The sequence below is a fragment of the Homo sapiens genome, chromosome 6 (assembly GCF_000001405.40).
Source record: "Homo sapiens chromosome 6, GRCh38.p14 Primary Assembly".
Classification (NCBI taxonomy): domain Eukaryota; kingdom Metazoa; phylum Chordata; class Mammalia; order Primates; family Hominidae; genus Homo; species Homo sapiens.
Window position 1 is genome coordinate 108432471 of NC_000006.12, and position 21043 is coordinate 108453513.

At 39.5% G+C, this 21043-nt stretch overlaps 1 protein-coding gene across 11 annotated transcripts in view; it reads left to right on the plus strand.

Annotated features, from left to right (window-relative positions):
- AFG1L (AFG1 like ATPase) overlaps positions 1-21043 on the plus strand; it is a 230948-nt gene that overhangs the window by 137417 nt on the left and 72488 nt on the right. For 9 of the 11 annotated variants that reach the window (NR_136553.2, NM_145315.5, NM_001323005.2 and 6 more), the window contains one exon: positions 14744-14826. Coding sequence is in view for 9 of the 11 variants with exons in the window: in NM_145315.5 (NP_660358.2) it covers positions 14744-14826 (83 nt within the window). In the remaining 2 variants the exon portion in view is untranslated. Of the gene's footprint in view, positions 1-6620; positions 8611-14743; positions 14827-21043 lie in introns of those variants that run through there. The other 2 variants (XR_007059229.1, XM_011535660.3) reach the window with 1 other exon arrangement.

A 21043-nucleotide genomic window follows, 5' to 3' on the forward strand; every position in this document is an offset into this window, starting at 1 on the left:
ATGGTGATTTTCTTTTCATTTTATTTTATCCAAATATAAACCAGAAGGAAGTTATTGCCACCAATCTCTACCTCTATGGTTCTAAGATCACAAACACCAGCCCTCGATGATCCTATGGCTTTAGTTGCCACCCATGGTGGACATTGTAGTTGTCTACCCAAAATTCATTTCACTCTCTGCTACTGTGTAGTAGCCATGTGGTTTGGATGGAACTGACCAGAGATGGGGCCTGATTAGGCTAAGCCAGTGGTTCTCAATCCTGGCCCATTGGGATTACCTAAGGAGCTTAAAACAAAACAGAAAAAAATCAGCCAACCAAATCCTCCTCCCTGAAATGCCTGGGAGTGGGGCCTGGATGTTGGCACTTTCTAGATACTTCCCAGGTGAGTCTAATGGGCAGCCAGTGTTGAGAACCACTGGTCTACCATCTTCCCTGCCACTGGCATTGGTTCAGGAAATTCACACCTATGCCAGTTAGCTTTTGCCATTCCCCAAGCTACAGGAACTGGTTGTCGTGGTTACAATCAACATAATCAGGGTAGCTCAGGACTTTCGTTTTATAGACATAGAAAAGTACTCAGTCTCCTCTCTTTGTTATGAGGAAATCCTGCCGTGGGATGAAATTGTTACTTTGAAGAGGGCAGAAATGACAGATTTGAAGAGAATAGAACCAGGGCCCTGATTAAACTGTTTTATACCCCCAGACTTTTCAGTTATGTGAACAAATAAATCTGCTTTATTATTTAATTGGTCTTCTGATACATGTGACTAAGTTAACCACAAACATTAACTTTATTATTGTTATTATTATTATTATTATTTTTTGAGAGACAGAGTCTTGCTCAGTCGCCCAGGCTGGAGTGCAGTGGCGCGACTTCAGCTCATTGCAACCTCCGCCTCCCGGGTTCAGCCAATTCTCCTGCCTCAGCTTCCCAAGTAGCTGGTACTGCAGGCATGCACCACCACACCCAGCTAATTTTTGTATTTTTTTTTTGGTAGAGACGGGATTTCACTATGTGTTGGCCAGGCTGGTCTCGAACTCCTGACCTTAGGTAATCCACCCACCTCGGCCTCCCAAAGTGCTGGGATTACATGTGTAAACCACCACGCCCAGCCTTATTATTTTATTATTTTATTTTTTGAGATGGATCTCACTCTGTTGCCCAGGCTGGAGTGCAGTGGCGCGATCTCAGCTCACTGCAACCTCTGCCTTCCCAGTTCAAGCGATTCTCCTGCCTCGGCTTTCTGAGTAGCTGGGATTACAGGCACAAGGCACCATGTCTGGCTAATTTTTGTATTTTTAGTAGAGATGGGGTTTCACCATGTTGGCCAGGCTGGTCTGGAACTCCTGATCTCAGGTGATCTGCCCGCCTCTGCCTCCCAAATTGCTGAGATTACAGGCGTGAGCCACTGTGCCCGGCCACATACATTAACTTTAAAAATCACAGAAATGTAACTTTAGAAGAAGAGACTATTTCTTTTAAAGGGTTACAGCCTGCAACATGGCCATCCCGCAGGCTGGGAAGCATAGCCTTTGACAAAGACCAAGACAGGCACTTAAAGGGAACAGGAATTGGAATAGGAGCTTTATGCTGAATGGGTTGTCTAAATATACATATTGAACAGGTTATAGGAGGAGCTATGAATATTTATGAATGTGGTTCTGACACATGTATATTGAACAAACATGCATGTAACATAGTACCCATGTTCACCTTGGGATGGAGACTTAACATTTAAATGTATTACAGCTCTATGCTGATGGCTCCTAACTCAGAATTTTTGTCTTGGCTCCAACTCCTAGAGTGCCAAGCCTAATATCTAGGCTGGACATCTGCACCTAGAGAAGTCCCAAGATCCTCAAATTCACCATGCCACCGAACTGAATGATCCTCTCCCCCACTTGCTCTTACTCCAGTTCTTTGTTGAATGGCATAGCCATGTGGTTGCCTAAGCCAGAAACCCAACAGTCTTCTTGACTCTTTCTTCCTCATTCTTTACCTTTAAAGCAATCAAGCTCTGTTGATCTATCCACTTCTCTCTCTCCTTACTCTATTGCTTTTCTAGGCTACTTTCACATCTTTCCTAGATTTTTCTGACACCTGCTAACTCAGCAATGTTTATGCAGTTTTCTTCCCCCCTCCATTGTTTTCCCAACTCTGGAGCAGTGATCCGATCCTGTCACCTCCCTTCCTAAATCTTTACATTACTTCCATTTTATGGACTTAGGATATTTAACTTGCAAAGCTCTTTACGACATGAGCTCTTGCCAGCTTCTATAGCCCCATTTTGGGCCACTCTTAGAATACATGCAACTGAAAGCATCCTAATGCTTGAACTCTGCATTCTTGCTATGCTGAACTAATTTTAGATCCCCAATTCGCTAAGCTGTCTTTTGCATCTCTAGATGTATAGGTGATATTTCTTGAGTTTGAAACATTCTTTCCTACATCTTCTCCCTCACCTGCTAAATGAGGCTACTTGCCACATTTTTGGGGTTAGTTGTTACTGTTCAGTGTTCCAGAGCATCCTGTTCTGATTCTTAACCATCTGTCTTCCTTGCTAGACGGATGTTCTGATCACCTCCTATTTACCCTGTCAGTAAAGGAGGGATCCCCAACCAAATAGTGATTAAGATGCCCGACATTGGACAAACGAGATTGGCAGCAGTGTATTAGTCACATGAACTCACAGCCTGAGGGATAGGGACACTACACACATAACGATTATAAACCAGAAGGGGCTATGGGAGGCAGGCTTTGTAGTAAGATGAAGGTGGGATACAGCTGGTCTGGCTGATAGGGATACTGGCCAGGTAGGAGGACTTTACCTCTGGGCATGGGAACCACTGGGTGTATCTGACAAGAGCAGGGAATGGCTCTGTGAGGCTCAAAAATGTCAAGGTAGCACCTGAGTGTTTAGGTCTTACAACAGGGCTGGGCACAGTGGCTCACGCCTGTAATCCAGCACTTTGGGAGGCTGAAATGGAAGGATCGCTTGAGGCCAGGAGCTTGAGACCAACCTGGGCAGCAAAGCCACACTCTGTCTCAACAAAAATTACAAAAATTAGCTGGGCATGATGACACATGCCTGTAGTCCCAGCTACTCAGGAGGCTGAGGTGGAAGAATCGCTTGAGGCCAGGAGAGAAGATGTTTCCTCATATAGACTCGAGTGTGTGGCACTCAGGGTGTGGGTAATGAGACCTGATGATGAGTAGGTAGAGATGGGCTGTGAACTCCAGGGTGCAGCCTTTTCAAAATCCTGCCGTTTTCTCAGTTGCTGACCTTATAACTGGCAGAACATAGCTGGAAGAATGCTTCATTTTGTCATAAAAGCTCCTTGAGAAAGGGACTGCACTGGTTGGCTTCTTCCTGTAGTTCCTAACATACTAACTTGCACTAGAGCTTTACACATATGTGTCTGCTAATGGTTTGTTCAGTTAATAAATATTTACTGAGCATTTACTATGTACTGTGTGCTAGATAGTAACTGCTGAAGAGACAATGATGACAAAACAGACATGATCCTGGTCACATAGAACTTACAGGCTTGAAACCCAAATCTGTCTCTACAATCTCATTCAGTATAGAAAAATGACCCATTTTGTTATGTTACAATGTAATATATAACAGCTACACAAAGTTTCTTGAAAGCTGCCCCATATCATTTTTGTATGAGATTAGGTTTTTTTTTAGACAGAGTCTCGCTGTGTTGCCAGGCTGGAGTGCAGTGTCACAATCTTGGCTCACTGCAACATCTACCTCCCGGGTTCAAGTGATTTTCCTGTCTCAGCCTCCTGAGTAGCTGGGACTACAGGTGCACACCACCATGGTCAGCTAATTTTTGTATTTTTAGTAGAGACGGGGTTTCACTATATTGGCCAGGATGATCTTGATCTCTTGACCTTGTGATCTGCCTGCCTTGGCCTCCCAAAGTGCTGGGATTACAGGTGTGAGCCACCGCACCCGGCTGAGATTAGGTTTTAAACAAATAAACCAATCTGTTTATTGCAACGTAGCTATTTCTCAGGAAAGCAAGCAAGTTTGGGCCTTACTCAGTGAGCACAGGAGCAGAGGGCAACAGATGTAGGATTTTGTGAGGCAAGCTGTCAGTACTGTGAAAACCTCCCAACAAGCCCATGTGAATCTTCCATTGCCTTTTGTGTATCCAAGCAAGAGCCATAGTTGCCTGAGCATATCATGGGCTGTGATGAAACACCAGAGCCAAAATGCCTGCGTTTGAATCCTGGTTCTGTCACTTTTGGGCTGTTTGACAATGGACAAGTTACTTAGCCTCTCTGTGCTTTAGTTTCTTCATCCATTTGTAAAATAGAATAATAATAATTTCTACCTCATAGAGTGGTTGAAAGAATTAAATGAATACATTTAAGGATCTTAGAATAGTCCCTGGCACATGGTAAGCCCTTATACCAGTGTTTGCTATTACCATGGCGTCTTAGTCCAGGCTGAGAAATCTAAGATGAGGGCACCAGCAGATTTGGTATCGGGTGAGGGCTCCCTTTCTGATTCCAAGATGTTACCTTTTAGCTGTGTCCTCACATCATGGAAGGAAGGGACAAACAAGCTCCCTCAGCCTTTTTTTATAAAGGCAGTAATCTCATTCATGAGGGATCTGCCCTCAGGACTTAATCACCTCCCAAAGGCCCTACCTCCTAATATCACACTGGAGATTAGGTTTCAACATATGAATTCTGGGGGGACACAAATATTTAGACCATAGCAGATGATAATGATGGACTCATTTATTTACACCTCAAATTCCCTTACCAAGTTTATGCCAGGTCTTATTATGGGACCTATTAAAATGTGAGAGGAATTATCATGTGTATTTTGTGGAAGAGAGTAATTGTCCCAGATTACTTTGTACTTTTCATTTTGGCACCTCTGAGAGAGAGCGGGGAAATCATCATCCTTGTTAGACTCTCTTCTGCTTTGAAGGGTCTGTGAGTATATGGTGTTGTGTAGGATTAAGAGGCAGTCCCACTGTCTTGGAGTTTCCAAGACTGACATCCTTGGTTTAGATGATCAAGTGAAAGCCATAGGAACAGTGGACTATGAGATGAGCAGACATTTTAGATAAACATAGAAAATGTCCTACGTAATGGAAATTTACTATAATATAACCCATTATAGTATAGAATTTAGTATGGGGTACATTTATCTCATACATGGTCTTGGACTAAATACGTAAAGGAAATAATATAAAATCATATTGTATGGCCCCCAGAAGAGTAATTAGTATATTTACACTGTGCAGAGGTAATTAATTTGAGATGGGAGGGAGAGGTGGAGGAGCAAAAATGAATTATGTAAGTTGTGTAAGACTAAAGAAAAATGATCCTGTGGCTACCGTTGAATAACTCAGTGTGACATAGTGGGAGGACCATGGATTTGGTGGAGGCAAGATTGTCCTGGTCAAATCACAGCTCAGCCACCTACAAACTATGTGGCCTCTTTTTGGATGCACTGTGAATTGTGAATTTACTGAGATGTTTTCTTTTGGCTGTGGCTGCAGAAAGAGTCAGATTGTGACTCACCTCACAAGCAAGTGTATGGAGGTGTGCTTTTAGCTTCTGTCCTGACTTGCTTGCTTGCTTTTTTGAATCTTGCAATTATTCTTTCTTTTTTTGCTCTTTTAGAAAATGCCTTTCTGTATGCTTATTACTGGAGCAAGGTAGCATATTGGTGATTGTATTGGTTTATTAGGACTTCTAAAACAAAATTCAACAGACTGGATGACTTAAACCATGGAAATTCATTTTCTCACGGTTCTGGTGGCTAGAAGGACAAAGACGTTGGCAGGTTTGGTCTCTCCTGAGGCCTCTCTCCGTGACTTGCAGGTGGCCACCTTCTCACTGTGTTTTCACATGGCCTTTCTGTGGGGTACACACATAACTGTATCCACATGTCCACATTTCCTCTTCTCATAAGGATACCAGTCAGACTTCATTTTAACTGAATTAAAGGCTCTGTCTCCAAATACAGTCACATTCTGAGGTACTGAGAGAGTTTCAACATGAATTTTGGGGAGATGCAATTAAGCCCATAATATTACTTTTTTTTTTAAGTTACCTCTCTGATCCTATGTTTCCTCAACTGTAAAATGGGGATTTAAAAAAAATATTGCCTTGCCCTGTAGATGGATATTATGAGGAAGATAAGAGATAAAGCCAAGTCAGTTGCCTAGCCCATCTAAAGCACATGATAAGCACTTCATGATGCTTAAATATCCCCCTTCCCGCTTTTTGGAAGGAGAAAGAAATTCTGAAACTGCTTGATAAAAAGAAGGGATACAGGCCTTACCTAATAAGTTAATCAGGTATGGGTATTTGAAGTGTGAGACAAGTAGGGTAGCTAGGGAAAGAGGAGTGGGGAGATATGGAAAAAAATGTTTTTGATTTACTTTGGTATATGAGATGATCAAGAAAGCAAAGGAGGCTGATATAGCTTGAGGTAGACTCAGGCCGTGTGGTCTGCTCTAAAGTGAGGTAAGCCCAAGGAAGAACTCAGCCCTGAAGAGCCCTGAAGTGAGAGAACTTCACGATAATGTTAAAAATTTAGAGCTTAAAGGGATCGTAATCAATTCCTTTATTTTGTAGAGGAGAAAACTGACATCTGGAGAGGTTACGTAACAGGCTAAAACCACACAGCGTGACAATTGGCAGAGGACTTCTCAATTTATCAACTTGAAAAATTACGTCTATGATCGAGAGAAGAAAATGATAACTTGAACAAATATCTGATTACTACCAGACTGTCAGAGCAAACGCTATATCTTATTCATCATTATATCTCTAGTAGCCAGGGAAGTGCCCAACCTGTAGTATTCAATTATGTTTGTTAGGTTGATCCAAAATAAATATTAAATTTGGAGGGGACTTGTTAAACCATAAGTGCACATTTTTGTGATATAAAACAGTGTGGCATATTTTATTAAATATATGAAACATCTTTAGTATCATCCTGATCTTCCATGTAGATGGAAGAATCTCACAGACGTAAAAGAACCCTATCACAAAAGAATACATACTGTATGATTTCACTTATAAAAAGCTCCAGAAACAGGCAAAATTCTATGGTGCTAGACTTAGAATAGTAGTTACCTCTGGGGAGTAGAAGGTGATATTAGGGGGGCTTCAGAGATTCTGGTGATATTCTATTTCATGACTGAGCCGGACACTTATAATTTGTATACTTTCCTGTATTAAGTTATACTTAAATTATAAAAAGCTTAAAATATGGAGCAGCTTATGTATTGAATTTTCTTATATATCATTGTTTAAGCTTAGAAGTAGTAGTACATGATTACTTTAAATATGACTCAAACAGCTGTCTTAGAATGTATAGCTGCCTCAAAATAAAGTAAGACAGTCTCCACTCAGTCTCCCACCCTTAAATTGTATTCTTAGCAAAAAAAGTTAGTACAGTATGCAATTAAGCTTTTCTGTATTTAAGTGTTTATTTTCTTTCATAGAACTTTTAAGATATCAAAAAAATTAAGCATAGAACTATATATAATATGATAGATGTCTACCTCTGTAATCTCCATATGTATAGGAAAAACTTATATAAGCTATAAACAAACTTTTTTCTGAGAAAGGGGTATTCATTTCTACTGTTATGCTTTTAATATTGTTTGAATGTTTTATAATAAGCATGGATCACTTTTTCAGTTCAAAAAAGATACATTTTTATTTTATTTTTTGAGATGGAGTCTCATTCTGTTGCCCAGGCTGGAGCAGTCTCAGTTCATTGCAACCTCCACCTCCCAGGTTCAAGCAATTCTCCTGCCTCAGCCTCCTGAGTAGCTGGGATTACAGGTGTATGCCACCACACCCAGCTACTTTTTGTATTTTTAGTAGAGATGGGGTTTCAACATGTTGGGCAGGCTGGTCTCAAACTCCTGACCTCAGGTGATCTGCCTGTCTCAGCCTCCCAAAGTGCTGGGATTACAGGCGTGAGCCACAGCACCTGGCCTAAAAAGGATACGTTTCTTAAAGAATCAAGTAAAATGATATATCTTAGTTATTTAAAATTTTATTTCCTGGAATAAGAAAAAGTCTCGACTGGGCGTGGTGGCTCACACCTGTAATGCCAGCAATTTGGGAGGCTGAGGCAGGTGTTCAAGACCAGCCTGGCCAACATGGTGAAACCCCGTCTCTACTAAAAAATACAAAAATTAGCCGGGCATGGTGGCGGGCACCTGCAATCCCAGCTACTTGGGAGGCTGAGGCAGGGAGAATTGCTTGAACGCAGGAAGCAGAGGTTGCAGTGAGCTGAGATCATGCCACTGCACTCCAGCCTGCACAACAGAGTGAGACTCCATCTCAAAAAAAGAAAAAAGGAAAAGAAAAGTCTCAACCATTTTTTCTTTTTTGTTGTTTACTCATTAAAAATTTATAAAATAAATTAGTTGACTGTTAATCAAGAAAAACACTAATAATTTTGATTCTTTAAATGCCTATTTAATATAGTCACTTAGATAAGGGATAGAAGTTCGATTTATGTAGTTGGGATTTTTTCCTCATGTTCCAAATTTCTATGATAAGTGAAATTGCTTTTATAATAAAAAATGCTAAGATGGGCAAATCTGTGTTTATTATTTCAATCTTTGCTTAAGAGGTTAGTATGTTATAGTTTTAAAAGATTTTCTCCACAATGTCTTTATTCTTTGTTCCAACTGGGATGGAGTAGAAGCTATATAAAGTTATTTTGTGAGATGGCTGTTTTTCTAATGGTATTATTCAGGATTGCTAAAAATACACACAATAGATTTTGGGGACAATATAAACTGCTTTAATACAGTTCCTTTAGTCATACATTTTTCTTTCCAAACTCAAAGGCCTTTGACACATGAGTATGCTCAGAAGGGTGTGCTAACCTCCCTCCTTTTCCTCTCCAAATTTTCTAATTGCATTTTTTTTAGATTGTGTAATTGTATTTGTCCTTTGTATATATAAATATGCAAACTATTTTAAAATAAATTTTGTTTGCTGGCTGATTAGTGTTGTATATTAGAATTGGATGGTGATAAGAGGTCACAGGCCTTGTAAATATCACTGGAAATTAGGAAATTTCTTAGAGATCATGCTCTTTTGACTAGATTCACTGTCGACTTGCAGCTTAGCTTCCCCCCGCCTCCACCCTTCTGCAAAGAGCTTTGAAGAATCTAGCGTAAGTGAATGAAATCTGAAAATCTGAGGTTTATTTAAAAAAAAAAAATATATATATATATATATAAACTGAGTGTTAGTATTTTTCAGACAATTAAGTGCTAACATCTAAGTGCTTTGGTAATAGTTCTTTTGCTGCTGATTAGGTATTCCTCAGTGGTGATTAGTGAATGTACAAATGCAATCATTTCGTAGGTCTTAATCACTCATATGATCGAGAAGTTAGTTACCCAGAAAGAGAAATTGAAGCTGTATAACTTTCATTAGCCTTATTTTTTAATAGCAAAAAATAAGAAAACTTTTTGACTAAATTAGGAATACTGAGTCATATAAGATAAATTGTAGTTTAAAAGAAATAGAGAACCTGGCAAATATATTTATATGACTGTATTGTGACACTGTATTTGATGTCTGTAGTAAAGATAGCTTATGAAAAATTGACCATTGCTTACCATAGTAGGGCAGGTTTTTCTCAGGGAGATTGAGTAAGACATGTTCCCTGCATAAGGACATTTTTCCTTCTTCTTTTTTTTTTTTACTGGGTGACTGAGCTCTCGCAATTATAGCAGGAACAAGGGAAAGAAAGTATTTTTTCACATTTATGACATCAAGAAAAACACAGAACATCTTGAGGCAAGGGGAGAAATATATATTCATATATCTCTTTTCTTCTCAAGAAGTAATGTAGTATATATATAAAACACAGGACATCTTGAGGCAAGGAGAGAGTAGAATGCATGTTTTTGGGCAATGCTGTATTTTCCTCTGGTGGGATTGGTTATAGGGCCCAGGTCCTAAAGGAGAGGCCTGGGGAGTTGGGTTTGGACAACTTGGAGTGATGAGCTAGGGATATCTGTATAGAGACTCCAACAGGTTGCTCATGCCAGCATTGCAGGGAGCCATGACTTTTGCTAGTTTTTCAGGGCTGTTCTTCAAATGTTAGTTCAAAAGCCTAGGTTTGTAGGCCTCCCTAGAGGACCAGCTTCTTGGGTGTTATTTTATGCTAATCAAATTCAGAATTGCTGATATATAATCAAAATGCTATACCTATACTAGCCACAACCCAGTCTTTGGGTCTTCACTCAGGGTAACCAAGCATCCCAGATTGTCTAGGATTGTCCTAGTGTTAGCACTGAAAGTTCTATATCCAGAAACCCCCCTTAGTCTTGGGGAAACCCCTCATTTCCAGGGGATTGTTGGTCACCTATTTTACTCTCCTGAGCCCCTTAGCACCTGCAGCATGGGAGGAGGGGAAATGCAATCTATGCCCTGGATGCAGATGATAAACAGCCCTCAGCCCTTGCGTAACAGTACAACCCAGGATGCACTTTCAGGGAGGAAGAACATTGCTACTTCTCAAGTGTGCCCAGATATTGCTGTTCTGATTATCTCTTGCTGCATAACAAATTACTGTAAAATGACTGTAAAAGAGGTTTAAAAAACATTACTTTATTCTCTCCTGGTTTCTGTAGGTCAAGGATTTGGTAAAGGCTCAGCTGGCAATTCTGGCTCCCTCAGTAAGAGTGGCTACAGCTAGAACAGCTGGGGACTGTCAACACCTCTGTCTTCATGTCATCTCAGTGCCTCTCCAGGGCCTCCTCTCTCTGTATGGGATAGTTTAAGCTTTCTCACAGCATAGTAGCCTCCAGGCAATTAAATGCTCAACTGGCACTTCAGAGTTCCGGAGCAAGCATTCCAACCAATAAGAAGCTGCCTCAAGTGTCACCTAGGATATTATTGCATAGACCATTTCCATCATAGTCACAACATTCAAGGAGTGGGACATAGACTTCACTTCTTGATAACTGGAATATCAACATCACATTGTAAGAAGAACATGTTGGGATGGAGAGATTATTTTACAATGTACAAGTCTTAAAACCCACCACAATTACGTTGGTTCCGAAGGTTTGAAAAATGCAGTTTTTGACTGGGCGTGGTAGCTCATGCCTGCAATCCCAGCACTTTGGGAGGCTGAGGGGAGCAGATCACTTGAGGCCAGGAGTTCGAGACCAGCTTGGCCAACAGGGAGAAACCCTGTCTCCACTAAAAATACAAAAATTACCGGGGCATGGTGACACATGCCTGTAGTCCCACCTACTTGGGAGGCTGAGGCATGAAAATTGTTTGAACCTAAGAGGAGAAGGTTGCAGTGAGCCAAGATCATGCCACTGCACTCCACCCTGGGCAACAGAGTAAGACTCTGTCGAAAAAAAAAAAATTGCATTTTTTCATTAATAAAAATAGTGATGTTGTTAAAATATATTTTTCCCATGAATTGCCATTAAGACAATTTTCATTTTGAATGCAAACAAAATGTCAGCCTATAGTTGTTTCTTGACTTGTCCTGAAATCCCTTAGTCACCATTCTTCTACTGAAGTGAATATCTCCCATCTATCTATCTATCTATCTATCTATCTATCTATCTATCTATCTATATCTGCACAGGCATACCTTAGAGATATCGAGGGTTTGGTTCTAGGCTACTGCAATACAACAGTATTGCAATAAAATGAGTTGCAGGAAGCTTTTGGTTTCTCAGTGCATATAAAGGTTATATTTATACTATACTATAGTCTATTAAGTGTGCAATGGTATTATGTCTAAAGAAAACCTTAATTAAAAAAATACTTTATTGCTAAAAATGCCAATAATCATCTGAACTTTCAGTGAGTGGTCATCTTTTTGCTGGTCTTGCCTCGATGTTGATGGCTGCTGACTAATCAGGATGGTGACTGCTAAAGGTTGGAGTGGCTGTGGCAGTTTCTTAAGATAATGTTGAAGGTTGCTATATAGATTGACTCTTCCTTTCACAAAAGGTATTTATGGCAGATATAGCCTTACAAAATGTATTTCTTAAATAATAATACTTACAAGTTGAAATTACTTCTTGATTCATGCATGGGCTGCAGAATGGATGTTATGTTAACAGGCAGGGAAACAACATTTATCTCCTTGTGCACTTCCATCAGAGCTCTTTGATGACCAAGTGGATTGTCATGAGCAGTAATCTTTTGAAAACAATCTTTCTTCTAAGCAGTAGCTCTGAACAGTAGGCTTAAAATATTTAGTAAACCATACTGTAAACAGATGTGCTGCCATCCAAGGGCTTTGTTATTTCATTTATAAAGCACAGGCAGAGTAGATGTAGCAAAATTCTTAAGGGCCTTGGGATTTTCAGATTGGTAAATGAACATTTGCTTCAACATCAAGTCATCAGTTGCATTAGCCTCTAACAAGAGAGTCAGCCTGTCCTTTGAAGCTTTGAAGCCATGCATTGACTTCTCCTTTCTAGCTATGAAAGTCCTAGTTGGCATCTTCTTCCAGCAGAAGGCTGTTTCATCTCCAGTGAAAATCTGTTGTTTAGTGTAGTCACCTTCATCAATGATCTTAACTAAGTCTTCTGGATAACTTGTTGCACCTTCTGCATCAGCACTTGCTGCTTTACCTTGCATTTTTATGTTATAGAGATGGCTTATTTATTGAAACCTCATGAACCAACCTCTGCTAGCTTCCATCTTTTCTTCTGCAGCTTCCTCACCTCTCTCAACCTTCATAGAATTGAAGGGAGTTAGGGCCTTTCTCTGGATTAGGCTTTGGCTTAAGAGAATGTTGTGGCTGTTTTGATCTTCTATCCAGATCACTCAAACTTTTCTCCATATCAATAATAAGGCTGTTTTGCTTTCTTGTGGTTCATGTGTTCACTGGAGTAGCACTTTTCATTTCCTTCAAGAACTTTTCCTTTTCAATCATAACTTAGCTAACTTTTTGTTGCAAGAGGCCTAGGTTTTTGTCTGTTGTGGCTTTTGTCATACCTTCCTCACTAAGCTTAATCATTTCTAGCTTTTGGTTGAGAGTGAGAGATGTGTGACTCTTCCTTTCACCTGAACACTTAGAGGTCATTGTAGGGCTATTAATCGACATAATTTCAATATTCTTGTTTCTCAGAGCATAGGGACACCTAAGGTGAGAGAGAGAGAGAGAGAGAGAGAGAGAGAGAGAGAGAGAGAGAGAGAAACAGCCAGTTGGTATAGCAGTCAGAATGCAAACAGCATGTATAAATTAAGTTCACCCTCTTCTATGGGTGCAGTTTGTGGTACCCTAAAACAATTACAGTAATAGCATCAAAGATCACTGATCACATAATATGTGATCACCGATCATATAATTAATGACATAATTTTTAAAAGTTTGAAATACTACAAGAATTACCAAAATGTGATACAGAGACACAAAGTGAGCACATGCTGTTGGAAAATTGAGGCCAATAGACTTGCTTCATGCAGGGTTGCCACAAACTTTCACTTTGTAAAAATTGCAATATTTGAGAAGCACAATAAAGGGAAACACAATAAAATGAAGTATGCCTCTCATCTATGTAGAGATACACACACACACACACACACACACACACACACACACACACACACACACACACCCCTACATATATTCCTCTCATTGCCCCCAAAATCCAACTGACCAAGAAGATAGGTGTTGCAAAAGTACATTTGCTCTCAAAGTAAGAATTTGGGATGTGTGTGGTGTATGTGCTTGTGTGCACATATGCACCCTGGGGGAATGGAAAGAAAGGAGCACTTGGGAGAAGAGAAGGGCATTAGTGGCACAGGGTGACTCGGGTTGAAAGGAGGCATCCACAGCAGGAAAGCGCACTGAAATGTTGGTGGCCAGAGAGGAAACTAAAAGGGAGACATGGGCAGTGGCAGCCATTTAGAAGCGAAGGATGGGCATACCTACGACATCATTCTAGTTTGGTCATTTGGTTTAAAATGTGGACACTAATGTTCTGGCCCAACTCTCTCTCTCTCTTTTTTTTTTTTTTTTTTTTTGTGTGTGTGTGAGACAAGGTCTTGCTCTGTTGCCCAGGCTGAAGTGCAGTGGCACGATCATAGCTCATTGCAACCTCCACCTCCCAGGCTCAAGCAATGCTCGCAGCTTAGCCGGCCAAATAGCTGAGACTACAGGCGTGTGCCACCACGCCCAGCTAATTTTTGTATTTTTTGTAGAGATGGGTTTTGCTATGTTGCTCAGGCTGGTCTCAAACTCCTGGACAAACACAATCTGCCTGTCTCAGCCTCCCAAAGTGCTGGAATTACAGGCGTGAACCACCATTGTCCACTCCCAGCTCTCTTATGCTGCCTCTGCCCTCCTGTGGTGCTTAAGACCCATGAGTTATTCTTTCTGGTAGCCTCTAGTTTCTCACTCCAGGGTATTAGAAATTGGGCTATTTTAAAAAAAACCCAGATGAAGTTATTTGGGGAATTTGCTGACAGCACTTTTTAGGCAATGTTTCAGAAAACATGATGCAAATTTTAATTTTTTTAAACTGATATTTCAGTGGCTTGATATATTTAATATTGCAACTTTAGTTTTATGAATCTTGCATGAGTTCTGTTGTTTTCTTGTCATCTCATTATATTAGTTTTTGAGCAAACATTTGAAAAATTTTAAAAATGTATAGTATAAGGGAAGGATTGTAATTCTGAGCCACTACTTGTTTAAAAAGGCACTTCATTTGTTTGGATTGTAGGAATATTGTAATACAGTCCAGCTAGATTCTGGGATAGATTACCGGAAAAGGGAACTTCCTGCTGCAGGAAAACTCTACTACCTGTAAGTGTTTCTAATTTTTAAAGTTTAATGTCTAATCGTTAATCAGAAAAAGAACATAAAAATAAGCAGTTTAATTATTGGAACGTGAAAGGCTGGTTCTGAAGCCCATGATTTTTAAATTGCAAATGTTCTCATGTTAACTTCTTCAACCCGTGTCTTTACCATCCATATTTGCATCATTTATAATGTGTGATTGGACAAAACCCTAATTAGTTTTTTGGGGTGGAATGATGACAGATGGTTAGAATGTAATGAGTATCCTTTTATAAGAGACTCTATTATTACGAGAATATCTTTAATGTGTGAAGTAATTAATTATTTGTGGATATCATCTGACAAGTGTGCCATTTCCGTTCCCCCCAAAATTGTTGTTTTATTTGTCAATCTGTTTGTATTTATCATTGTTGATTGACTTCCATATATAACTGATCTACAATATATATACACAAATACAACTGGATATATTTTTGTCTTTTAAAAGCTAAGATGCTCCTGAGTAGGAGCGATTTATAATAATAGGTGTATTCAGCACGTGCAGTTAATACTGAAAAACAAATATAGTTTGTTTTAAAATGTCCTTTGTGAGAACGTGAAAAGGAAAAAGTGCTTTAAAAAAGCAAACTTGTTTAGTATATGCCAACAGTGTTGGGCACATAGCAAATTCTCAGTAAATAGATCTGTCTAAGGACTAATTGTAATTTAACTAAAAGGCATGTTTCTGGTAATTTAAATTTTGATGACAACGTGCATTTGAGAGGTTGAGAAAAGTTCTTGTCTCTGCCACCTTGTAAGCAGAAGTACTTTACTGTTTTTGAAGCAGAAATTAGCTAGAAAAATCACATAATTAAAATTGCATACTTTACAGTGTACCAAGGGGACTATTTTAGTTTATTATTCAGATCCTGATGATTATTATAGGAGATTCTTCATTTGTCCTCAAGTACTTTGTCTTTAAAGTACTTTATAATTTTAAAAAATTCATAGAGCACATTTTTCTGCTTTAACTTGGACTTTTTCTTCCCAGTTTCTTTTATGTTTGTGTTTACTGGATATTTTATTTTTCTAATATTCACAGCCTTTCCCTGATTTTTTGCTACCTGTGTCTTGATATTCCAGATGTATGGTACCAATGCATTAATTAATTATTATTCTCTTTATTCTTTTTTTAAAGGAGGTAATTCTTGTTCTCTGTTTTTTTTCAAAAAGTGTATCCTCATGTGGAAAAATAAAAATATTTTCCTGATGGGGAGTTCCTTAAATAAAGATGGTAGTCTGAGTCTAAATTATAAAATTTGTTTCATAGTGCCAAAGAGGTCTTGGAAGTTACTGGAGGTGAAAAGGCTACTTTTGCTTGGAGCGTAGCCATTTTTTGTCTCTGACTTACCCTGTGTTACCCCTTCCTTTTCCTGATAAAAGTAATAGCATTCTAACCCAGTGAAGTTCAGTTTTGATCTTTAAAAATATGCTAGAGGAAAACCAACACTAACAATGTCCAGAGTCCAGGAAACCAGACCTACAAAGGACACCAGGAAACTCTGGACCAGCTTTCCTGAGAAGTATATAAATTCAAAGGCCAGGCACAATGGCTCATGCCTATAATCCAGGCACTTTGGGAGGCTGAGGTTGGAGGATCACTTGAGCCCAGGAGTTTGAAACCAGCTGGGCAACATAGGGAGACCCTGTCTCTACAAAAAATTTAAAAAATAGTGGGTGTGGTGGCACCTGCCTGTAGTCCCAGCTACTTGGGAGGCTGAGATGGGAGGATCGCTTGAGCCTAGGAGGTGGAGGCTGCAGTAAGCTGTGATCATACCACTGTACTTCAGCCTGGGCGACAGAGCAAGACCCTGTTTCAAAAAAAAAAAGTATATATATATATATATAAGTGTATACATATACACTTACATATATACACACATATATATACACAGACATATAGATATATATAGATAGATAGATGTCTATCTATTATCTATCTATCTATCTATTCATTTAATCCTCAAGGAAGATAAATTTGTTCCTGAATTTAACATCCAAAGGGCTTGACCATAGTCAAGAATAGAAAGCCTGGGGGCACCCCTCAGTCAGAGGAGAAGGCAGATATGTAAGTATCCCTGAAGAGAATTAGCAATTAAAATCATCTCAGAAGTGGGAAAATAATATGAGTTACTAAGACAGGATGCTAGAGATGTGTATTATATTGTTTCACATGAGGACTTGGGTAGAACTTCTTTCATGAAGATTTTCTGAGGTTATGTTAACATTTGATTTAATTAGGTTTCTTTTTATCTTGTTCTTGTAGAAAAACTTTTTTTTTATTATTATACTTTAACTTTTAGGGTACATGTGCACAACCTGCAGGTTTGTTACATATATATACATGTGCCATGTTGGTGTGCTGCACCCATTAACTCCTCATTTAACATTAGGTATATCTCCTAATGCTATCCCTTCCCCCTCTCCCCACCCAACAACAGGCCCTGGTGTGTGATGTTCCCCTTCCTGTGTCCATGTGTTCTCATTGTTCAATTCCCACCTATGAGTGAGAATATGCAGTGTTTGGTTTTTTGTCCTTGCCATAGTTTGCTGAGAATGATGGTTTCCAGCTTCATCCATGTCCCTACAAAGGACATGAACTCATCCTTTTTTATGGCTGCATAGTATTCCATGGTGTACATGTGCCACATTTTCTTAATCCAGTCTATCATTGTTGGACATTTGGGTTGGTTCCAAGTCTTTACTATTGTGAATAGTGCCACAATAAACATACGTGTGCATGTGTCTTTATAGCAGCATGATTTATAATCCTTTGGGTATATACCCAGTAATGGGATGGCTTGATCAAATGGTATTTCTAGTTCTAGATCCCTGAGGAGTCGCCACACTGACTTCCACAATGGTTGAACTAGTTTACATTCCCACCAACAGTGTAAAAGCATTCCTATTTCTCCACATCCTCTCCAGCACCTGTTGTTTCCTGACTTTTTAATGATCGCCATTCTAACTGGTGTGAGATGGTATCTCATTGTGGTTTTGATTTGCATTTCTCTGATGGCCAGTGATGATGAGCATTTTTTCATGTGTCTGTTGGCTGCATAAATGTCTTCTTTTGAGAAGTGTCTGTTCATATCCTTCGCCCACTTGTTGATGGGGTTGTTTTTTTTCTTGTAAATTTGTTTGAGTTCATTGTAGATTCTGGGTATTAGCCCTTTGTCAGATGAGTAGATTGCAAAAATTTTCTCCCATTCTATAGGTTGTCTATTCACTCTGATGGTAGTTTCTTTTGCTGTGCAGAAGCGCTTTAGTTTAATTAGATCCCATTTGTCAATTTTGGCTTTTGTTGCCATTGCTTTTGGTATTTTAGACATGAAGTCCTTGCCCATGCCTATGTCCTGAATGGTATTGCCTAGGTTTTCTTCTAGCGTTTTTATGGTTTTAGGTCTAACATTTAAGTCTTAAATCCATCTTGAATTAATTGTTGTATAAGGTGTAAGGAAGGGATCCAGTTTCAGCTTTCTACATATGGCTAGCCAGTTTTCCCAGAACCTTTTATTAAATAGGGAATCCTTTCCCCATTTCTTAAGATCAGATAGTCGTAGATATGCGGCATTATTTCTGAGGGCTCTGTTCTGTTCCACTGGTATTAAAAAAAAAAAAAAAGAAAAACTTATTAACTTTACCCTGTAACAGACTTTAATGTGCTATGCTAAATATTGCCCTATTAAAGCGTGTGTTTCTGTTTATTACCATCTGGCCAGACATCTGTAATCGATTCCTGAATATGCAAGTCCAGACTACCCCCTTGTCAGTTTCACTGGAGCCCCAACTGCCAGAAAACAAACAAGCAAACAAACAAAAACATAAAAAACAAAATTTTAGCTTCCTTCTAGGGGAACACCAAGCGCTATCTCAGAATTTCATACAAGTAAAATCCCACATACGATCTTTAATGAAACAGAAATATTAATCTTCATCAACTCAGTATTTTATTAGTCTGATTTCCCAACACCAATTAAGAATATCCAAAATACAATCCAAATAATATCAAGAATTACCACAGATTTCTAAAACTACCCAAAAAGTTGACATGGAGCAATTTCTGTAGTTCATAATATTGCCTGAGTCCCACAAGAACTAATTCACATAAGACATTGCATGTTTGTATGTAATATATATCACATTAAATTTAGGAATCCTAGAGTACCTTCGTAAGTAAGTTTCAGACGTTTTTGGCCCTGTAACAACCTCATATACAGCAAATTCAGAGAATTTAAATTTAGCAAGCTACAAAACAGAGACCTTGATTGCAAATATCCAAACTTTTGCATAGATTAAAACACCCCATGCTTGTCCAGTTTTTTATTCTGTACTAAATGCATGATCACTCCAGAGATGAGCACAGTTTGTTTCTTTTTTTTTATTTTCATTTTTTTTTGTGGGGGACACGGAGTCTTGCTCTGTCACTGGAGGGCTGGAGTGCAGTGGCGTGATCTCGGCTCACTGCAACCTCTGCTTCCCGGGTTCAAGCAATTCTCCTGCCTCAGCTGAGTAGCTGGGATTACAGGCACACGCCACCACACCCGGCTAATTTTTGTATTTTTAGTGGAGACGGGGTTTTGCCAGATTTGCCCGGCTGGTCTTGAACTCCTGACCTTAGGTGATCCATCCGCCTCAGCCTCTGCAAGTGCTGGAATTACAGGCGTTGAGCCACCACGCCCGGCCAGTTTGTTTCTTTTCTAGTTGCTTGGTGAATAGCACTCAACAAGGTCCCCATGCTGAAGTCCAAACAGATCAATCAAGCACTGGGCTTCCATTTGCATCTGGATGGAGACTTGGACAGTAATCTATTTTGAATTGTCTGGTACTGATCAAGGGTGACCCCATCTCATGCTTACAGAGAATTTAACTGCTTCAGATTAGCTCTCTGTTTGGGGGCTGGTAATACTAGAGGTTATTATTTTATATATGCATATCTTTTTAAACAGGAAGCACCATTGCTGAAGGATCCATGATATGCTTCCCCAGGCCATTTTGCTATCCCTATTGTGAAGCGTTACTGGTTTCCTGGGGAGAGGAGTTCACATCACCCTGGACTCACACTTGCTGTCTCTTTTTTATTCCAAGGCTGAGTCCTATAGGTTCTTTTCTCTACTAAGTCTGTTGAAGGGAGGGTTCTATTCAAACACCATATCTTTCCATACTCACATACAAACACTGTGCCCTCCACACAGATGCCGTAACCTCAAGAGAAGTTTTAAACTGAACCAAAAGGGATGGGGGCAGGCATTGGTCCTGGGATTTTATTTTACCCCACTTACGAGCCTAAACCTAAAATAGGTTTGCCTTTTATTATTTCATAAGTGCTGACAGAAGACAACAGAGACCTGGGTCAGAGACACAGGATCTTATTAGCCTTGGCACAGATAGCAGTATGAGCATTAGCATGTTGTGTCAGTTCCCTCCTTGCTCCTTAGTCCCATGGAGTGGAGGGGAGGGTGTTTTGCTGAGGGCCTAGATAATTCCTGCAACAGGCAGTGAATTGTGTTACAGGAAAATAGCTCTGAGCTTGTGAAATCTGCCATTTTATAGCCAGACATAAGCAAGTCTGCTTTTTGTCTCGAGGGAGACATTGTCTCATCTTTCAAGGTTGCTCACTACACACACAACCTTGAGAAATGGTTAGGGCCTCGCATTCTTGGCATACTCAGCAAGATGTGATGGAGAGACCCATGGAGGGGCTTGTCTCTCCCAACAGGGGGCATTTACCGGACATTAGACCTTAAAGAACCGGGCTTCCTCCCTTTGTTTCAGTTGGCTTCTGTCCACTGAAGTCATCCACCACTTCAACAAAACTACATCTGAAGCACATTGTTCAGTTGCTTAAAACTTAAATTGTCTCAAGACCATTTCAATATGGGGATTTTGGATCATCCTGAAAATGGTGAAAAATCTAATTTATGGATTTTTAGATACAGCCCAAATATTCACATATTTGTGCTTGGCTAATATAATGTATTTACCCATCTTTTGAACAGATTTCAAAAAAAAAGTTTTTTCTTAAATACTTTTACTAGTGGAAGTTTTATGTCTCAAGCACTCTTGGTTTTCCACTTGGGAAATATCTATTCCAAATAGAAAATCATTTTGGAGAATATAACTTTGAACACCATTTTTTAAAAGAATAACAATTAGCTGACAAAAAGACACACAGCTTCAAGGT